The 17,813-nt window shown below is 32.3% G+C and overlaps 1 protein-coding gene across 14 annotated transcripts in view; it reads left to right on the top strand.

The window, feature by feature from the left end:
• KCNT2 (potassium sodium-activated channel subfamily T member 2) overlaps positions 1-17,813 on the top strand; it is a 382,662-nt gene that overhangs the window by 200,265 nt on the left and 164,584 nt on the right. For 13 of the 14 annotated variants that reach the window (NR_146057.2, NR_146058.2, XR_001737149.3 and 10 more), the window contains one exon: positions 9,505-9,613. Coding sequence is in view for 10 of the 14 variants with exons in the window: in NM_001287820.3 (NP_001274749.1) it covers positions 9,505-9,613 (109 nt within the window). In the remaining 4 variants the exon portion in view is untranslated. Of the gene's footprint in view, positions 1-2,034; positions 2,218-9,504; positions 9,614-17,813 lie in introns of all 14 variants that reach the window. The other variant, XM_017001181.2, reaches the window with a different exon arrangement.

Genomic DNA, 17,813 nt, shown 5'->3' with positions numbered 1-17,813 from the left:
TAGTGAAAAGAGCTTGTGGAAGTTGATTTTTCTTGTTTCCATTTGCTTAGTGAAATAACAGTTAAGATTATCAGGGCAGAGGGAGGCTCCAGGCCCTCGAGAAACATTGGCAAGTGGCACAGAGAAGATTCACATCCCAAAGGAGCAGAGAAAGAATTTATAATGGAAAATTTTCTAAAATAAACGTTCTAAGTAAAGAGAGGTCAGAGGCCTACAGTCAGGAGGAAACCTGTCTAATGTTTATTCACACTGAGGGGAGAAACTTTGAGGCATCTTAGGTATTTGACTCCCAAGGCTTTAAAGTTGTAACTCTCAGAAAAAAAAAAATTGTTTTTATTCCCGGCTCATGCTGCTGACTTTCCTCTTAAATGTCAAAGACATATTTATTCTTGATTATTACATGCATTTTTGAACATATGGTATCTTAGAAAAGAAAGCAAACAATCACTGAGCACTCAGTGATTTCCCTTCATGTACCCTTCAGACAGCATGAGAAAAGAGCTGAAATAAAATGTTTGCTGTGGAAGCTTTTTCACTGTTTTTTTCAAGTATGTTTTGTTTTAAGAAGATCCACTTCAGGCACTGAAACAAGCACATAATAATCTGTACTATGTCATTCCCTAATGAAATGTACCTTAGATTCTTTTGGGAGATTTTGCAATTTTATTTAGCTCTTTAGTCAACCCAGTGGTTAGTGACTTGTTTTCAAAAATATTTTTCTTACCATTCTCAAAAATCACAGAATTTTAAACTTGAAAAGATACCTTGAAATCCCTAATATAACTGAGTTTTTAGTACACTCAGAAATAATTTTTGGTAAATTTTTGACAGATGTACATCCCTGGACTTCAGTTACACGCCGTCAAGATAACCTGACCTCTTTACGAATCACTTTACTATTCATTTGACATTTGTATACCAGTGAGTTTCAAGAGGTTTTTGGATAGTGTGGTCGTGACTATGTTAAATTGAGTAACTAGATCAGGGAAAATTCAAGAGGATTAAGATCTGGAATTGGATCTGGTGTTGAGGGAAGTTTCCTTCAAAACCTGGGAGAGGATTTAAGTAAGTAAAATATACAATTTATGGAGTGTACCGTTCTGGATGAATTACTCCAACTCAGACCAAGGACTAGTAAACGATACAGTGTTTCAGCTTTCAGAAAGAGTACAAAATGAGTTTAGCTGCTCTATAAGGAAAGACAAAAAGTAGGCTTTTGAATTGGCAATTATGTTGACTTGCTGCTCAGTCCCAAAATTTCTGGTAAGATTTTGATAATATATATGCAGATTCCGACAGGCAAGCAGGTTTTTATCATTAAGTATCTGTAAGGAGTGGTAAATTTTCAGCCACGAGAGTGGGAATCAAAAGCAGAATTACAGTCCCTGAGAGATTATTGAAAAAGCAAGGACTTTTTTTCCTAAAACTAGAACCCAAGGTAATGTTTCAGTCCCAGATATACTGTTAAATCCCTTCTGCTGAAACTTGGCAGGAGGACAAAATTATATTTACAGCCATACAAGTTTGAATGCTGAGGCCCAGAATGCTAGACCAAGTCTTCTTTTAATTTTTTTTTTTTTTTTGACTTTGATGTAGATTGTTCATGAAGACTAGGCCACTGTTGAGCCTATAGGTTTGGGTGAGTAATATAGTTTAACTAGACTACAACTAGTTGGCCTGATTTTCTACTTTCTGATAGCCAGCTATTCTATCGTAAAATGCAGCCACATATTTTAATGGTGGAGAATTTTTTAGTGATTTTGGCTATTTTCTTTTAAGGTATTTTTATTTAAGAGCACTTTTGAATTATTTTTGTATTTAAAATAAGTATATATCAAATTTGAAGCATACTTCTCTAAAGACATCAATTACAATTAATCACAATGAAATGTATCATTTTCTTAATTCAGTCATGAAGTTAGGTCAATTAGTTATAGATGATAAATACTATGAATCTTCTGTATCAGAATTACCTCCAGTTTTTGATATTATCAGATATATGTGTATGTAATCTAACCTTATACTTTTTAACAGTCTACATATTAGACCTGGATGTTCTAATTATGAACAAAATAGACCCTGACCTCAAGGTGCTTTTGAGTCCAATCTACTGTGAGGCCTTCCTAGGGCCATCTGTGAAGAAATTGTTCTCTGGGCAAGGATCACATTTGGCAAGAATTGTTTATACAACAATACATTCGAATGTTTTCAAGACAGGTTTGTTCTCCAGATTGCCATAAGACTTCTTTTACTCTTTATTTATTTTATAAGTGTTTGTGATTAGTTTGCTCAATCGCTTATAAATTTTGGGCAAATCTATCTACATGTATTATTTTAAGTTTTACAATTCAGTTTCACTTTATATACTAGTAATCTTAAAAAATAAAGTGTCCAATGAATAAGTTAGCAAGATATACTCAAAGTATGCAGGGTAAATAGATCAATTTTCAAGTGCTGCAGATGTATTTTATAAATTAAAAATCGAAAGGAAAGTGATGCCTTTGATCAAACCAATGTTTTATCACGTGTAGATGACAGACTCTGTTTGAGAGTCTAATAAAAATTATAAATTTATGGAGAGGTAAATAATTCATTTATAAAATTTCATCTAAAATGTCTGAGTTCTTTAATGGGTTATTTGGATTTCAGTAAAATAATTCCTGCCATAGGTAAAGTGATTTATTGTAAGTCCTTAGAACAACAAATACCTTTTAGATAGTACAGTTTATTAAGTTGAATTTTATGGAGACATTCATTCTTCACTAATTTAATTTTTAGGCAAACTGACTTTGGGTAAAATGTTCTGTTTCACAGTAGCAACAGACACTCAGATGATGTGGTAGTGTCCCAAGTTACCTACCTTTATTATTACAGCATTTTTATTCTAAGGTTATCACAATAAACATTTTACTCTATGATTCGAAATATGGAGCACTTTACTTAAGGATGAATTTGTCCCCAAGAAAAGTTTTAAAAAATCAATCAATCTTCTGCTTTTAGAAAAAAAAAAATGAAGTGAAATCTTGTTTCTTTGTTAGTTTAATTATCTGTATTAGGAAAATTTTTCTTTTCTATTTCTCATATGATATTTATGCCATGTTATACAGCTCTTTTCCTTTTTCCTCACTTAATGACCCACTCAAAATTACTGATGTTTGTTCTGTTTTGTGAGGGCATAAAATATGAATAAAACAAGGAAGATTTCAGAATAGGTACTTTATCTCCTGTATTCATCCATTGAATTGAAATATTTGCTAAATGCTTTCTATATGCCTAATTCTCTTTATATTATCACATTTAATGTTCACACTATCAATATGAAGTAAATATTGTTTTTCTTATTCACCTGTGATATGCAAATGAATGCTAGGTTCTGGGGATAAGCTAGGGTGAGCAAAATGTAGACATGGCCCTTGCCTTCATCAAGCTTATAGTTTAGGGAGGACCAACTTTTAAAAATGCTAAAAATTAGATGGGGTTAATTGTTCACAGAATACAATGGGATCAAGTAGCATCATCTATCCTAATTTACCAGTAGTCAGAAGAAAAGGCTTCCTAGATAAGTGACTTTTTAGCAGGGATGAGAGGCATGAATAGGGCTGAGCCCATAAAGAATGTTCTTGGCAAATGGTCCTAGGTGGGAAATGCTGGTTATGAGTGGAGAATGTGCATTATCGCTAGAGAGAAGAATGCAAAGACTGAGGAAATAGTTTGGGAAACGTTTAATAAAGGTTGTCGTAAGCCTTGTTAAGAAGTTTGAATTTGATGCCAAAAGAAACGAAACCACTGTAGGATTTTAAGTAGCCACGTACAACAATAAGAATTTTAGTTGGAAAAAACTGCATCTGATAAGATTACAGAATTAGTGAAAAAAATGTTATAAAGCTTGAGATAGGCTGACTGGGGAGCTGTTGCCCTTACTCCAAGCCAGAAGTGACAAGTTTTTAGATTAGGCTGTGGCACTGGTGCTGGAGAAAAGTGGAAGCTATTAGAGCAGTCTTTAGAGGCATAATCAACAAGATTTGAGAACTCACTAAATGCAAGGTAAGTGAGACAGAGAAGCTGAAGATTTAGTATCTATTAGTATTTTCTTTTGGGAAAAGGGAGGACTACCAGTAGCAAGATGAGTTCAGTTTGGGATAAGAATGTCAAAGGGTAACCAAGTGCATGGTGTCAGATAAGCCAAACGAGGATGTTTTAGGGAGCCAGTGGTCTACAAGTCAACTGTTGCCAAGGGTTAAGATAAATAAGAAAAGTAAGTTGCACACATCCATTATACAATAACCAAAACTTCTGTAAGAAGAATCAGATCCGTAGTAACTTCCCTTTACTCATGCATTTTTGTAACCTCTGAAGTGAAGATTAGAGCCCAAGGTTTGTGACTCTACAGATCATGCTTTTCTCACTTACTTTTTAAAAAAATAAACTAGACTTTTTGTTGTTATTGTTAAGCCATTTTAGGTTTACAGAGAGAATGGAACAAAAAATATAGAGAATGTCCATATCTCACCCCCTACACTCCTCTCCCCCTACACCCCATTTTCCTATTTTTAACATCTTCCATTATTGTGATACATTTGTTGAAACTGATGAACCAATATTGATAAATTATTTAACTAAAACCCATAGTTTACATTAGGGTTCACTCTTTATATTGTATATTCTGTGGGTTTTGATAAATGTAATATGACATGCATTCACCATTACAATATCATAAGGAATAGTTTTAGGGTCTTAAAAATATTATCTGCTCTACCTATACATCCTTCTGTCCTTTCTTTTCCCCAACCTGGCAACCACTGACCTCTGTACTATCTCCATAATTTTGCATTTCTACAATGACATATAGTTGTAATCATGCAGTATGTAGCCTTTTCAGATTCACTTAGCAATATGCATTTGAGGTTTTGCATGTCTTTTCTTGGATTGATAGTGCATTTCTTTGCATTGCCAAATATTCCATTGTATGGATGTGGCACGGTTTATCCATTCATCTATTGAAGTATATCTTGGTTACCTCCAAGTGTTTGTAATTATAAATTAAGTTGTTTTAAGCACATACATGCATGTTTTTGTGGAGACCTACATTTTCTGTTCACTTAGGTAAATACTAAGGAGCCCAATTGCTGGATTATTTGGTTAGGGTATACTTAGTTTTGTAAGAAATTGTCAAAATGTATTCCAAATTTGATGTATCATTTTGCATTCCCTCCCAGCAATGAATGCAACTTCCTGTTGATCTGTGTCCTCTCTAGTATTTGGTGTTTTCAGCACTTTAGATTTTAGCTATTATGAAAAGTGTTTAGTGATGTCTTACTGTTTTAATTTGCAACTCTCTAATGACATGAGTTAACTATCTTTTCATTCTTCTAATCTGTATACGTTCTTTGGTCAGATGTTTGTTTTGATCTCTGGCCCAATTTTAAATAGAGTTGTTTGTTTTCTTGCTATCTACATCTTTGTGTTTCAACATGTTTAGTCCATTGGCATTTAATGTCATTATTAATATGGTTAGATATAGCTCTATCTAAATTGTTTTGTTTGTTTCCTCTAATTTTGGTTCCTCTGTTTTTCCTTTCCCACATTTTTTATTATTTGATTTTGTAAAGCACTGAATGTAATATACCTATTGGCTTTTTAGATGTGCCTTTTGAATTTTTTTTGTGAGTGCTGTAGGGATTACAATACACATTCTTACTGCTTCATAGTGAGCTTTATATCATTGTTATACCACTTGTTAAAATTATAAACTTGCATTTATTCCTTTTCTACTGTCTCTTATGTTATTGTTGTTAGATATAATAATTTATCCATAGATTAGAAACTACACTAAACAATATTATAAATTGTGCTTTATTCAGATTATATATTTTATAGAAGTTAAGAGGAAATGGATTTTTATAGTCATTAAAACATTAAACATTTGTTACTCTTGTTTTATTTCTGAAGTTCTTTCTCCCTGGTATCATTTTTCTTGAGTTTATATAGTTTTCTTAAACTTTTCTTGTAGTATGATTCCAATGGGAGTACATTTCCTTATTTTAGAATAAGGAAAGTACATTTCTTTATTTTAAAAAGTCCTTTATTTCACCTTCCTCTTTGAGGGAGTTTTTGCTAGATGTAAAGTTCTGGTTTCATAGTTTTTTTCCTTCATTCTAAACTTTAGAATTTTTTCCAGGGTTTTCTGGCTTTCAGGATTTTTGATGAGAGTCCTTGGCCATATGACTCTTTCTTTGGGTGCTGTCAAGATTTTGTCTTTATTTTTGTTTTTTAACAGTTTGAATACAATGTGGCTAGGCATGGTTATCTTTTTGTTTATATAGTTTAGATTTTGCTAATTTTCTTGAACTTATAAGTGTATGTCTTCTACAAAATTAAAAAGTTTCTAGTCATTATTTCTTAAAATCATTTTCTGCTAGTTTTTCTCATTTGTTTTCTTTTTGGGAATTCAATTATATTATGTAAGACCTTTTTACCGTGTTACACAAGTTCCTGAACTCTGTTCCCTTTTCCTTACCTTTTCTCTTTGTTTTTCAAATTGGGTAAATTCTATTGATCTATGTTCAAGTTCACTGACTCCTTTCTTCTGTCATTCCCAATCTGTTTCAAAGCCCATATAGTGAATGTGTTTCTTCATAAACTTCAGCTTTTTAATCTAAAAATACTTTATATTACTCTGCTGAAATTTTCTTTTTTTTATTACAAACATGTTTTTCATTACATTACTGATCATAGTTCTAGTAGCAGCTTTAAGTCCTTCTCTGCTAATTCTAACATCTCAGACTGTCTAGTAGCTACCATCTATTGGTTATCATTTTGTTTGTTTCCCATGCAAATAAGTCACATTTTTCTGGAAATTCATAAATTGAATAATACTGCATCGTATTTTGGATATTGTGTTATGTTGCGGAGGCTTGGATTCTCCTGTATTCTTCCAAATAATGTTAGTGCTCTCATTTTAGCAGAGGCTAAGTTGCTTAAACTCAAAATAAAGCAAACTCCATCACCATTGAGGTTGGTAGTGCTTCACAAATGTCAGCTCAGATTGTTTTTATGCTTCGCCATGGATTCTTGGTTCAGAGGTCAGCCAAAGATGTTTACACTCATTCACAGAATTTGTGGTTTCTCTTTGTTGCCTCTCCCTTTTCCTGTGTCTGGTGGCTCTGGTTGTTCCAGGCTCCATTCGCTTGTTGTTCTGGCAGGTTTTCTGTGGAGTCTTAGCCAACTTGTGCTGTTGTGGTAACCACAGCTGCCCTCAGGTCACAGCAGCAAAAACAGGGAAATTATAACATGCAAGATACTTCCTCCAAGTTTTAATTTTCCTCTAAAATCTGCCTACTTTAGTTCGTTTACTAGGGCCTTTGTATGCTTGTTCTATAGATTTTTTAATAGTTGTCATATGCAAGGACAATTTATTAGGAGCTTATTCTTTCATATTGATAGACGTCCTGGCCTCTTCTATTTCTTCTTTTATTATTAATGTTACATTTCTTGCTGGTGTCAGCAGATAAGTCTCACTTTAAATTTTTCCTAAGAAATTCATTTTTGTTCTTTATCTTTTATCCTTAATGATATTACTTCACTATTACTAAGATGATACACATAATAAGAAAAACAACTTATGTTTTTTCGATAACTGACTGCCAACCTCTATTAAAAGGTGTATGTGTGTTGTCTATTTCACCTTAGAAATCCTGTAAGATACAGAATATCTGCATTTTACTAATGAGGAAATTTAACTTGTCCAAGTCTAATTAGATACTGAGGGATAAAGCAGGATTAAAACCCCTAGAATGGCCCATTATCTTCAACACAACACTAAACATAATGAAATAAAATAAAATAAAAATTATAACTTGGCATCCTTTTACTTATATAGTGGTTTACTTTCTATTTTTTCCCTTTCCTTTAAAATTGTGTACTTCTAGTGAAAGAGAAATGACAGTAATCCTCCATTAAGTTATCTATAACCCTCAAACCTCAGATTTAAAAGCATGTAAAATTGATTAACAAGTATTCACTTGATGAATCTTAGTAGAATTATTGGGCTCATTCTGATATTTGAATATTTGCCTGTAAGGAACATATGGTACATGTAAACCATGCTGGACTACTATTCATCAACTTTCTTGTAACTTAAAGTTACTATCTTGTTTTGAGTTGCTATAACAAAATAGCATAGACTGGGTGGATTATAGACAACAGAAATGTATTGCTCACAATTCTGGAGGCTGCAAAGTCCAAAATCAAGGAGCCAGCTGACTCAATGTCTGATAAAGACTGGCTTCCTGGTTCCTAGATTGTTGTCTTCTTGCAACATCCTTACATGGCTGAAGAAGCGAGGGAGCTCTCTCTCAGGTGTCTTTTATATGGGTATTAATCCCATTCATGATGACTGCCCTCACGATGAGGCCTACCAGAGGCCTCATCTCCTACTACCTTCACAATGCAGGGTAGGATTTCAACATGTAAATTTGGGGAGGACATGATCATTCTGTCTATAGCAGTTTCCAACCATAAATAACAACTTCTTCTATCTGCATTTGGATAAACAGTCCCTCGTGTCTATCTGTATTTTGGATCTTCCTTTCCTTTCACTAATAGTGCTGTCAAATAGAACTTTCTGTGATGGTGAAAAATTTCTATACCTCCACTTTCTAATATGGTAGCCACTAGCCATGTGCAACTATGAGCACTTGAAATGTGGCTAGTGTGATTGAGTAATTACATTCTTAACTTTGTTTAAGTTTAGTTACTTCAAATTTAAATAGAATTATGTGGCTGGTGACTGTTAAATGGACAGTGCTACCCTAGAGCACCTTTGTGCTTCCTTTCCAAAAATGTATTAGCTAACTGTGTGGTTCATTTATCTAATAATCTTCCTTGATTTTTTCAATTCATTGAATTTATGGGGTGACTACTATGTAAAGGAGTTCGTGTTAAGCATGGTTTTGATTCCTTTTCTTACTTTAAGTGTCTTTTTAAAAACTTTTTTTGATGTATTTTATTATATCTAAGAGTTTTTTATGTCTTCAAACATACCACACAGGTACACACACAGACACACACACACACACATACACACAGGTCAAAATTATTTTACCTTTACTATTATATAAAAAAGTAATTTTCTAAGCATGTTATTATTATATGTACATTTTTGATTTCTCCTTGGAAATTCCTATTACAAACTATTAGTTTTGCTACATGTCTGAAAGCTTCTGACTGCAGAAATTTTCTAGGAAAATTATTTTTAAGTCTGTCTAGCTATTTTTTCTCTTAATCTTTTCTAATATTCTAAGTGCTAGTAATTAGCTATGATTGAATTAGCTATTACTACCTTCTTCTATGGAAATAATAGGTATCCTTAACAAGTCCTCAGAGTAATTTTTATGTTTAAGTTTTAACTATGGATGTGACCAAGCAAACTGATTGCTTACTTTTACTTTATATGTTATAAACATTGTAACTTATGCTATGATGTTTTTATTTTGATCACTTCAGGATCACCAAACAATTTTGAGAGCATGGGCTGTGAAAGATTTTGCTCCAAATTGTCCTTTGTATGTCCAGATATTAAAGCCTGAAAATAAATTTCACATCAAATTTGCTGGTAAGTTTTTATCTTGCATGAGATCCATTGAATTTCCTGAAACTCCTATAGTGGCTTAAGGGTTAAGTCTCTGAACTAAGTGGCAACTTAAAGTATTCAAGATTCTAAAGAACTGAAAATGATTATTAAAACTAATTTACTTGATACGAGAGGATTTATCCACTTTAATATGTGACAAGATAATACTTTTGCTTGAGTCTTAATTTTTTTATATAACTTGGTGATTTTAGTACCTTAACATAATGGATGCCTTAATAAGCCTAAATATATTAGCAGTAGTAGATTTATGCATAATATAGACACAAATTTCAAGTGCCATATCTACTCATTTATACATAGGTTTACACATAGATGGGTGATATTTGGCTATAGATAATTGTTTAATACACACATAGGCTTACCATGCAATAGACTAATACATTGAAATGTATTCAGGTATATGTAAATAGAGTTAATTTAGGGAATAGACTTTGAAAAGAATTCAAGAAAAAGATGCATGTGAACTTTTTTGAAGGTACTGCTTTAAAAATGACAGATCACATGAGATTATACTTTGAATTGCTAGAAAATTGAACAGCAAAATTGTACTTGCTTTTTTTTTCTTAAATGCTTCTGTAAAAAAAACCGCTAATGTTGATTTAAGCAGTAATTCAAGTGCACGTTTTCCCCACAATCACAAATATCCCATGTTTTACATTATATTCTATCTTAAAAGTTTAAAGCTCCAAAAGTCATTAAAATGTAATACATTTTAGCAATGTGTCAGCAAAACGTATTTCCTTCAGAAAATGTGTTTACATATCTTAAAATTCTTACCTGTTAGTGTATGATTTTGAAATGAAAAATTGTAAATACTAGGGAATTTTGATGCAATGATAAGAAAATTATGAAATGGTTGCTATTCAGTTTGCTCTAGCCTTCCCCAAATTTATGTCATCACTTTTTTTCCTAACAATGTATAGCAAACAATTTAAAGTAATAGCTTCCAACTCTGGTTGCACATTAGTATGTTTTTGGAAGAATTTCTAAAGTACTGATCATAGAGATTCTGATTTATACAGTATGATAGGTGCTAGGGCCTCTCTAAGACTATTTCTTAACTGAAATTTAAAAATAACAGTGCCTCTTTTGTAGAAGGCTTTGTGAAATTAAATGGAAAAATATATGTGAAGTACTCCATCTACAACCTGTTACGTATATCATTAGCATTCATCAAATGCCAACTTTTTATTAAAAAGACCTTTGTAACTAGGCTATCTTATTTTTATTATTATTTAAGAAAAGAAATATTTTTGAAAAATTTTAAATATATATGGTGATGACTTGCTATGACAAAATTTTTGAATGGCAGTAATGACATTAACACTAAGTAAACTCTTAAAATGATGACTTTAAATTTGAGTGCCACCACTTAAGACAGGTAGGCAGATTACTATTTTGAGCCTTATTTCCTGTCTACTAAAAGGCCATACAGATTATGTCTCTGTTTTATCAGGGTTAATAGTAAGGATTTAATAAATAATGTCTGAAACATATTAAGTGTTCTATGAATGGATATTGTATCAAGACCTTAAAACAATATGTATTTTCGAAAGACAATTTGTGATTTTGAGTGTATTTTAACTAAAATTCAGAGCAGGCTTCAGTTCTTTCTCCCTTTAGCACGCCGTTGGTATGCTTCCATCGAGAGATCAAATTTGCTGAAAAAGTCTACTGCTAAAAAAAAATACGGACTATTTGTATTAATCTATTTTCTGATTCTCATTTTGTCATTATTTTAATAATACCTTCAAAATGAATAGATTATTTACAAATTCTATCCCAACCATTTATCTCAATATTTCTCATTTTGACACCTGATGAAATTCTTTTTATTAGTGCCTACATTCTTTTATGACTGAGATTACATTTCAGAGGATCTCTTTTTACATTGTGTAAAGATGAAGGCATCCTAGTTTCATTAAAATGCCACAAAAAGAGTTTGGAGTGCTGTATGAAGCTCTCAAAACAATACCATATATTTTATATCTCAGCATGAAGTTAAAAAATTATGGACTTTTCCTTTCAAAAGGCAGTGCATCAAGCTGTCACTTAGTTTGTGTAAGAGATTCTTTAAATAATGGCCCTCAAGAAACCATGCTGTATATATCTGTGCCCTGTTGCCGTGTGATTTTGCAGCTTTTTACCATGAAGAGGTGAAATCTATTTCCCCATCTTTGTATATAAGGTTTGCTTTGTGATTTGCTTTGACCAATATAATCTAACAAAACTTACACTGTGTAACAACAGAAGCTAAGACTTAAAAGGTCATACTGGTTCTGCTTTTGCTGTTTTGGAACACTGCTCAGAGACTACATATAAAGAAACCCAGTTTAGCCTCTCTAAGGATGAAAAATCACTTGGAAAGTGAGGCTCATCCATACCAGCACCTCACCTGTCCAGCTCCCAACTTACTTACCAGCCAACCCAAGGAATCATGCAGACCCACAGAGTTTTGAGAAATAAAATGGTGGTTAAGTCACTGAAGTTTGGAGGTTACTAGTCATGTGGCAGTAGATAACTAATACTGTTGGTGATAAAATAATAATTACTTTAATTTAAAATCGTATTTACTTGACAATATTTATGATATTCTTGTCCTTGTACTCTCATAGGTATTAAATATGTAGATTCCAATATTCACAAGATATGAAATGAGGCATTTGCATTTCCATTTATTTAAATAGCTCCTTCGGTTTACCCTAAATTGTGGAAATATAATCATGATTATAATTTATGTTTAAAAAGTAAGCAAAGTTTACTTTCAGAAAATTGTCCTTTTTATAATAAATTTGTCAAAATAACATGATTGAAACTGCGAATTCTGGAGTGAGACATTTCATGGTGATGTAGTTGCTGTCCTGTGTACTGACTGCATGACCTCAGGCTTCTTCAAGTCTTTAAGCTCGAGTTTTTCAAGTTGTAAAATGGGGATGATATGAGAAACAACCCCCTCATGCCATTATAATACTAAAAAGGATACTTGGAAGTATCTTTTTAATTTTTAAGCCACCAGTAAGTGATGTTTTAAGCCACCAGTGCTATTTTAAGCAACTGGTATAATTTATATCTTGAGTGCCTATTCGTCATCTTCATAACAAATTTGTATTGTACTTGTTTAGAGGAAAACTAACTGGGCTCTCCCATAATGTTTTACAAACAGTTTATAAGAGAGATTTCAAAAGCATATAATTCTGAGCTTACACACATTTTCTCAGAGAATAGAAAATATATCTTCCCAACTCATTTAACGGGAATAACATAGCCTTGATACGAAACTCATTCAGGATAGTTTTGGAAATAACATTTAGAGTCTAACTTAATTGGTTAACAGAGTTGAAAAATTATATAAAATATTTTAGGAAAACAAACCGAGTAATATATTTATAAAAGAATATATAATCACCAAGTTGAAATTATTCCAGAAATAGATCATTATGTTAAAAGAGAATAACCATATCATAATTTTAATGAATGTAGTAAAGTATTTGAGACAGACTTCAACATTCATTCATAATTAAAACTTAAAAAAAAAAATCTATTGGAAAGCTAGGACCAAAGAACTTCTTAATCTAAGACAAGTTATCTTCAAAATAACCAAGAAAAAATTATATTTAATAATCACATATTAAAAAGCTGTCATTTAGGTACAAACATAGGTGTCTACTAAATCAACTTTTATCCAGTATTTTTCTGGAAATCATAAAAATGGCAGTGAAGCTGGAAAAAAGTAAAAGATATAAGCATCAGAACACAAGAAATAAAATTGTCATTGTCCATGTATCATCAAATTCTCTACAAGGAAAATTAAAAAGAGTTTTTTTTTCTTTCTATTCATCTTTTTCTTAGAGGATCTCATCTATTTATATAATTTGCAAAACTAAAACTCTTCTTCAGTATCCACTATGAGCTTCAGTTTTGAATCTTCAACTGCATGGTCAATATCTCTTATTAGATTTCTAACAGCCCTCTTAAAATTAAGATGTCTAAAAATAGTTATTGATTTTTCTCTGACTTAAAATCTGTTTCTCACCCATTATTCCCAGCACCATCTGTATAGAACTCAATCAAAAACCTGTGAGTCATGCTTTCCTTCTCTGCATCCAATCCCACATCTTGTCCTATCGGTTGTACTACCTAATCCACAGCGGCATCACAACCCTAGTCTACGCCATTATCATCTCTCACTTTAGGCTATTTCAAAAGAGTCCCTTTTCATCTTTTTCTGGGTATTCACATGTTGTATCTATAAGCTTACTGCTGCACTTCATGTCCCCCAGAACATTTGCAACAGTTATTGCTGTTTGTGTATCACAGGAGGCGGCTCCATCTTCATACCTCCATTGTCAGCCTAAACTCGTTTTCTTTTACCAGGATACAAATTCCAATACCCTCTCACAATATCATTATTTTTTAAAGATTCTTTCTTGTGAATAATTTGTGTCACCTTTTATGGTTCAAAATTCAGATGTTAGCGTGGCTTTGGTTATGTCAAATCATTTTTTTTCCAGTGAGAGACTTTTTTTCACCAATATAATAGTGTTGTTAGAAGTGGCAATTGGTACTGAAACATATGACAGAGGCAATGGCAGCGTGCCATAGACATGACTAATACAAAAATGTGTTTTTGTAACATTTTGTATTCTCTGTCAAGCTCTTGTGGGTGTAGCGATTCTAGTAAAGCTTCTCTAGGGTCAAATATCGGATCTACAATCACCTGGGGAAACCTTATGCTTCCATGTTGTGGAACCCTTCATAAATTCCCCTCCTCAGTTGCAAACCACGATTAAAGGGCACAATATTATAGCAGTTTAGTTATCAGACATGTTTCTGTAGCTCAACATTTAATCTGACTGAAATAAACTTCATATTTTCTTCTCTGTTGTGCATTTCCTAAATCATTAAATGCACACACACACACATACATGCACACACCCCAAAACAAAAAAGAAAAAACATGTACTTTACTAGGAGGATAACTTCTTCATTGAAAAACCTTGAATGAACTTTGAAAATAAACTGCGCTCTCCAGTTAATCAATTTCAGCTGAATGAAGTTTGCTGTTTGTCTCCTAGTCAGATGAGGTTACTCAGAAAATCAGTGGGAGGTGAATTCATGTTTTAAGAGTAAATTAATAGCTAAATTTAGATAAACACAATATCTCTATCTTCCCAATAAAGTGTTATGTCGTCTGTGAATATTCAGTTCTCTTAGCTTCCTCATCCAATTTTCTTTCAACTGTTGAGTCCTCTGAAAATCTCCCACTTCATTTGAACAGATATGAGAAGAAATAACAATCGAATTGGCAAATTTTCACTCACAAGTAGGAGTAAAGGATGTAAAAACAAAGGAGTGAATGAAAGTGTGAATTATCTACTTTCCATGCTTCTTTTTTAGTCCAGAGGCTACCCTTGAGATATTTTCTATGCTTTGGTTACGGTATTTTATATATCACAGAATTTGATTGTAATTTGTTCACGAAAAGGAGAACCATATCTCAACAGTAAAGTGTTGACTGAATGAAATACTTTGTACTTCGCAATTCAAACCTGCCTAGAAGAATGCAACATTATACCAGAACAGTAGGAGTTAGTTCTTCTAACAATTAAAATAATTTTTAATTACAATAAGAAGTTAAAAGTCCAAGCAAAAGTAAATGTATTTTTAGCAATGTCACAGACAATATTGTTTAAACATGTATCATTCATAGAGTTTGATTCCCATTATAAAAATAATAATATTTAAAGTGCACACACATACATGTACATATCTTGGAGAAATGATTTGACCAGAAAATGAAGGTTTTGCTCAGCTTAGCCATCATCCATTTTGTACTAAATCACTAGATATTCCAATGCATCACTTTTTCCTACCCAAGAAAGAGAGTGGGAAAATATTTCCAAGCAATATAAATATTGGAAATCATCTTAGCTGTTTCTAAATAACATATGGATGTGCAGGCTTGACTTTCACCAAATGGTAAAGTGTGAGTTTTTCATGCTGAATGATTTCTTCATTTCCCATATAACACCCACATAGACATCATTTTAAACTTCATTTTTACAACCTACTTAAGAACATAATGCTTAGAGTTGTTATATTTTCAAAATATAAAACATTAAGCCTTTGAAAATTCTCATTTTTTTGGATGGAAATCTTTTCTCTTTGATTTTTTTTATTATCGTGGAGATCATCAGAAACTACTTAACATAAGGCCATGTTCAAGCCCAGCACTGTCTGGAGAATCTTTAATTTTTTATGCCATTCCTCACTATTTTTTACTTTCAAAAAATCAAACTTACACTGTTTAAAACAGTTACACAATTAAAAAAAACCATATTCTCTCCATCTACATTCAAAAACTGCAAAAACTGTTAACATTTTGCCACTTTTGACTAATCTCTTTGTACGCATACCTAAATACACACATATTTTTATATCAGCGGAGCTCTCTTAAGCATAAGGAAATTCTGCTACATAACAATGCTAAAATTTTTACCCCTAAAATGGTCAATAATAATTTTATGGATCCAGTTTATATGCAAATGTTATCAATTGTCCCTCAGATTTTCCTTAAATCTGTATTTTAAAATTCAGTATTAACTCAAAATTTTATTTTTACCACATTTATGTTTTTTATTTCTTTGTAAAAATTTTTATGCAATAGTTTTAGATTTATGGAAAAGCAGTATAGATAGTGCAAAGAGTTCTATATACCCTCTACATCCCACAGCTTCTCCTAATGTTAATGTGGTATATATAACCATTATCCATTTAATCAAAACAAGAAATTAACATTGGTGTTGATTATTTTTAAATGAAAATTTAAAAATTTAAATATTGCAAAAGATGTTTAAGCCATCTTTCCTGTTTATTTTCCTTGACATTTGATTAAATTGACACTGGATATTAGGTATTTTGAGACATTTTCTTGTGGGCCACTTATGACTTAATTAACTAAAATAATCTTTTGTTTATCTCCATTAATGTTTTTTATAGTTGTATATTTTCAAACACCCAATTTCTTGGTTCTGAGTACCAGAGTAAAATAATACTTATTTTTTTAGAAAGTGCCAGACATATTCTATCATATCCTATGCCTATGGTATTTAGTCTGCCAAGTAGTTCCTTGATATAAATGTCTTATGAAAAAGACCAGGTATGCTCTCTTTCACTCTTAAATACTTTTTCATAACATTTTCTAGATTTGTACTATGATCAATTTCTTGTTCTATGCGCTAGTGACATAATGATGAAGAAGATGTAATAGGTGTCAATTCCAGTGGCAGCTTGTCTCATTGCCTTTACCTGTCACCCTGTAAAAAAGTCAATGCACTTTTATATACTTCCCAAGAATACCACTCCAATGAGCTTATCCTTACTACATAGAGCTTTAGTTGGAGCCTTACAACCCCCCTTTCCTGCCCTTCATAACCTCCATGTATATCAAACCAATTATTCCAGTTATGCTCTAGTCTCACTGTATATTGCTTGATGAATTTAGTCAATCTCATACACCTACAATAGATAGTTAAGGCTTTCATTATTTAGTTTCCCTATCCCAGAAGTAATTGGTTTTGGTTTGAAAAGAGTCTCCTAACATATGTTTTTTTTTAAAAAAAAAAAAAAAAAAGAATGAATGAGATCTTAACAGTAGGATGGCCAGCAAGTGGAGATGACAATTCTTATAATGGGGTGTTAAAACTATCATTACCTCAAATCACCTTGCCTTGGAACTTCATATTGTGCACATACACATACACAAATACATGTGTATGCATCCATGTGTGTACATGTGATTGTGAATTAAATTTTACTAAGATTTTTTTGGAGAAGTAGTGTGAGAATAATGCAAGTATTCGGTAAAGGCATAAAATTTTAACTAGATTAAAAAAATAACTCTAGGGGAAATGTTGAGTGCAGTGAGGAGGACAAAAAAAACCTCATAGGAGTGATTATTTAGGAAGCTATTATAGTTGTCCAGGTGAAAGATATGGAGAGTGCTATCATAATGGAAATGGGGAGTGAGAACATATACGTAAAACATTCCATATATTTTCTGTAGACTTAAAAATCAGCTGACTGCAGCAACCAAGGGAGATTGAGAAAATCATTTTATCTTTGCTACTCTCACTTTTTCATATATCTTCACACTTAATAT

The sequence above is a fragment of the Homo sapiens genome, chromosome 1, assembly GCF_000001405.40.
Source record: "Homo sapiens chromosome 1, GRCh38.p14 Primary Assembly".
Lineage (NCBI taxonomy): Eukaryota > Metazoa > Chordata > Mammalia > Primates > Hominidae > Homo > Homo sapiens.
The sequence above is the reverse complement of the archived record's forward strand: the minus strand, read 5'-3'. Positions and strand labels throughout refer to the sequence as shown.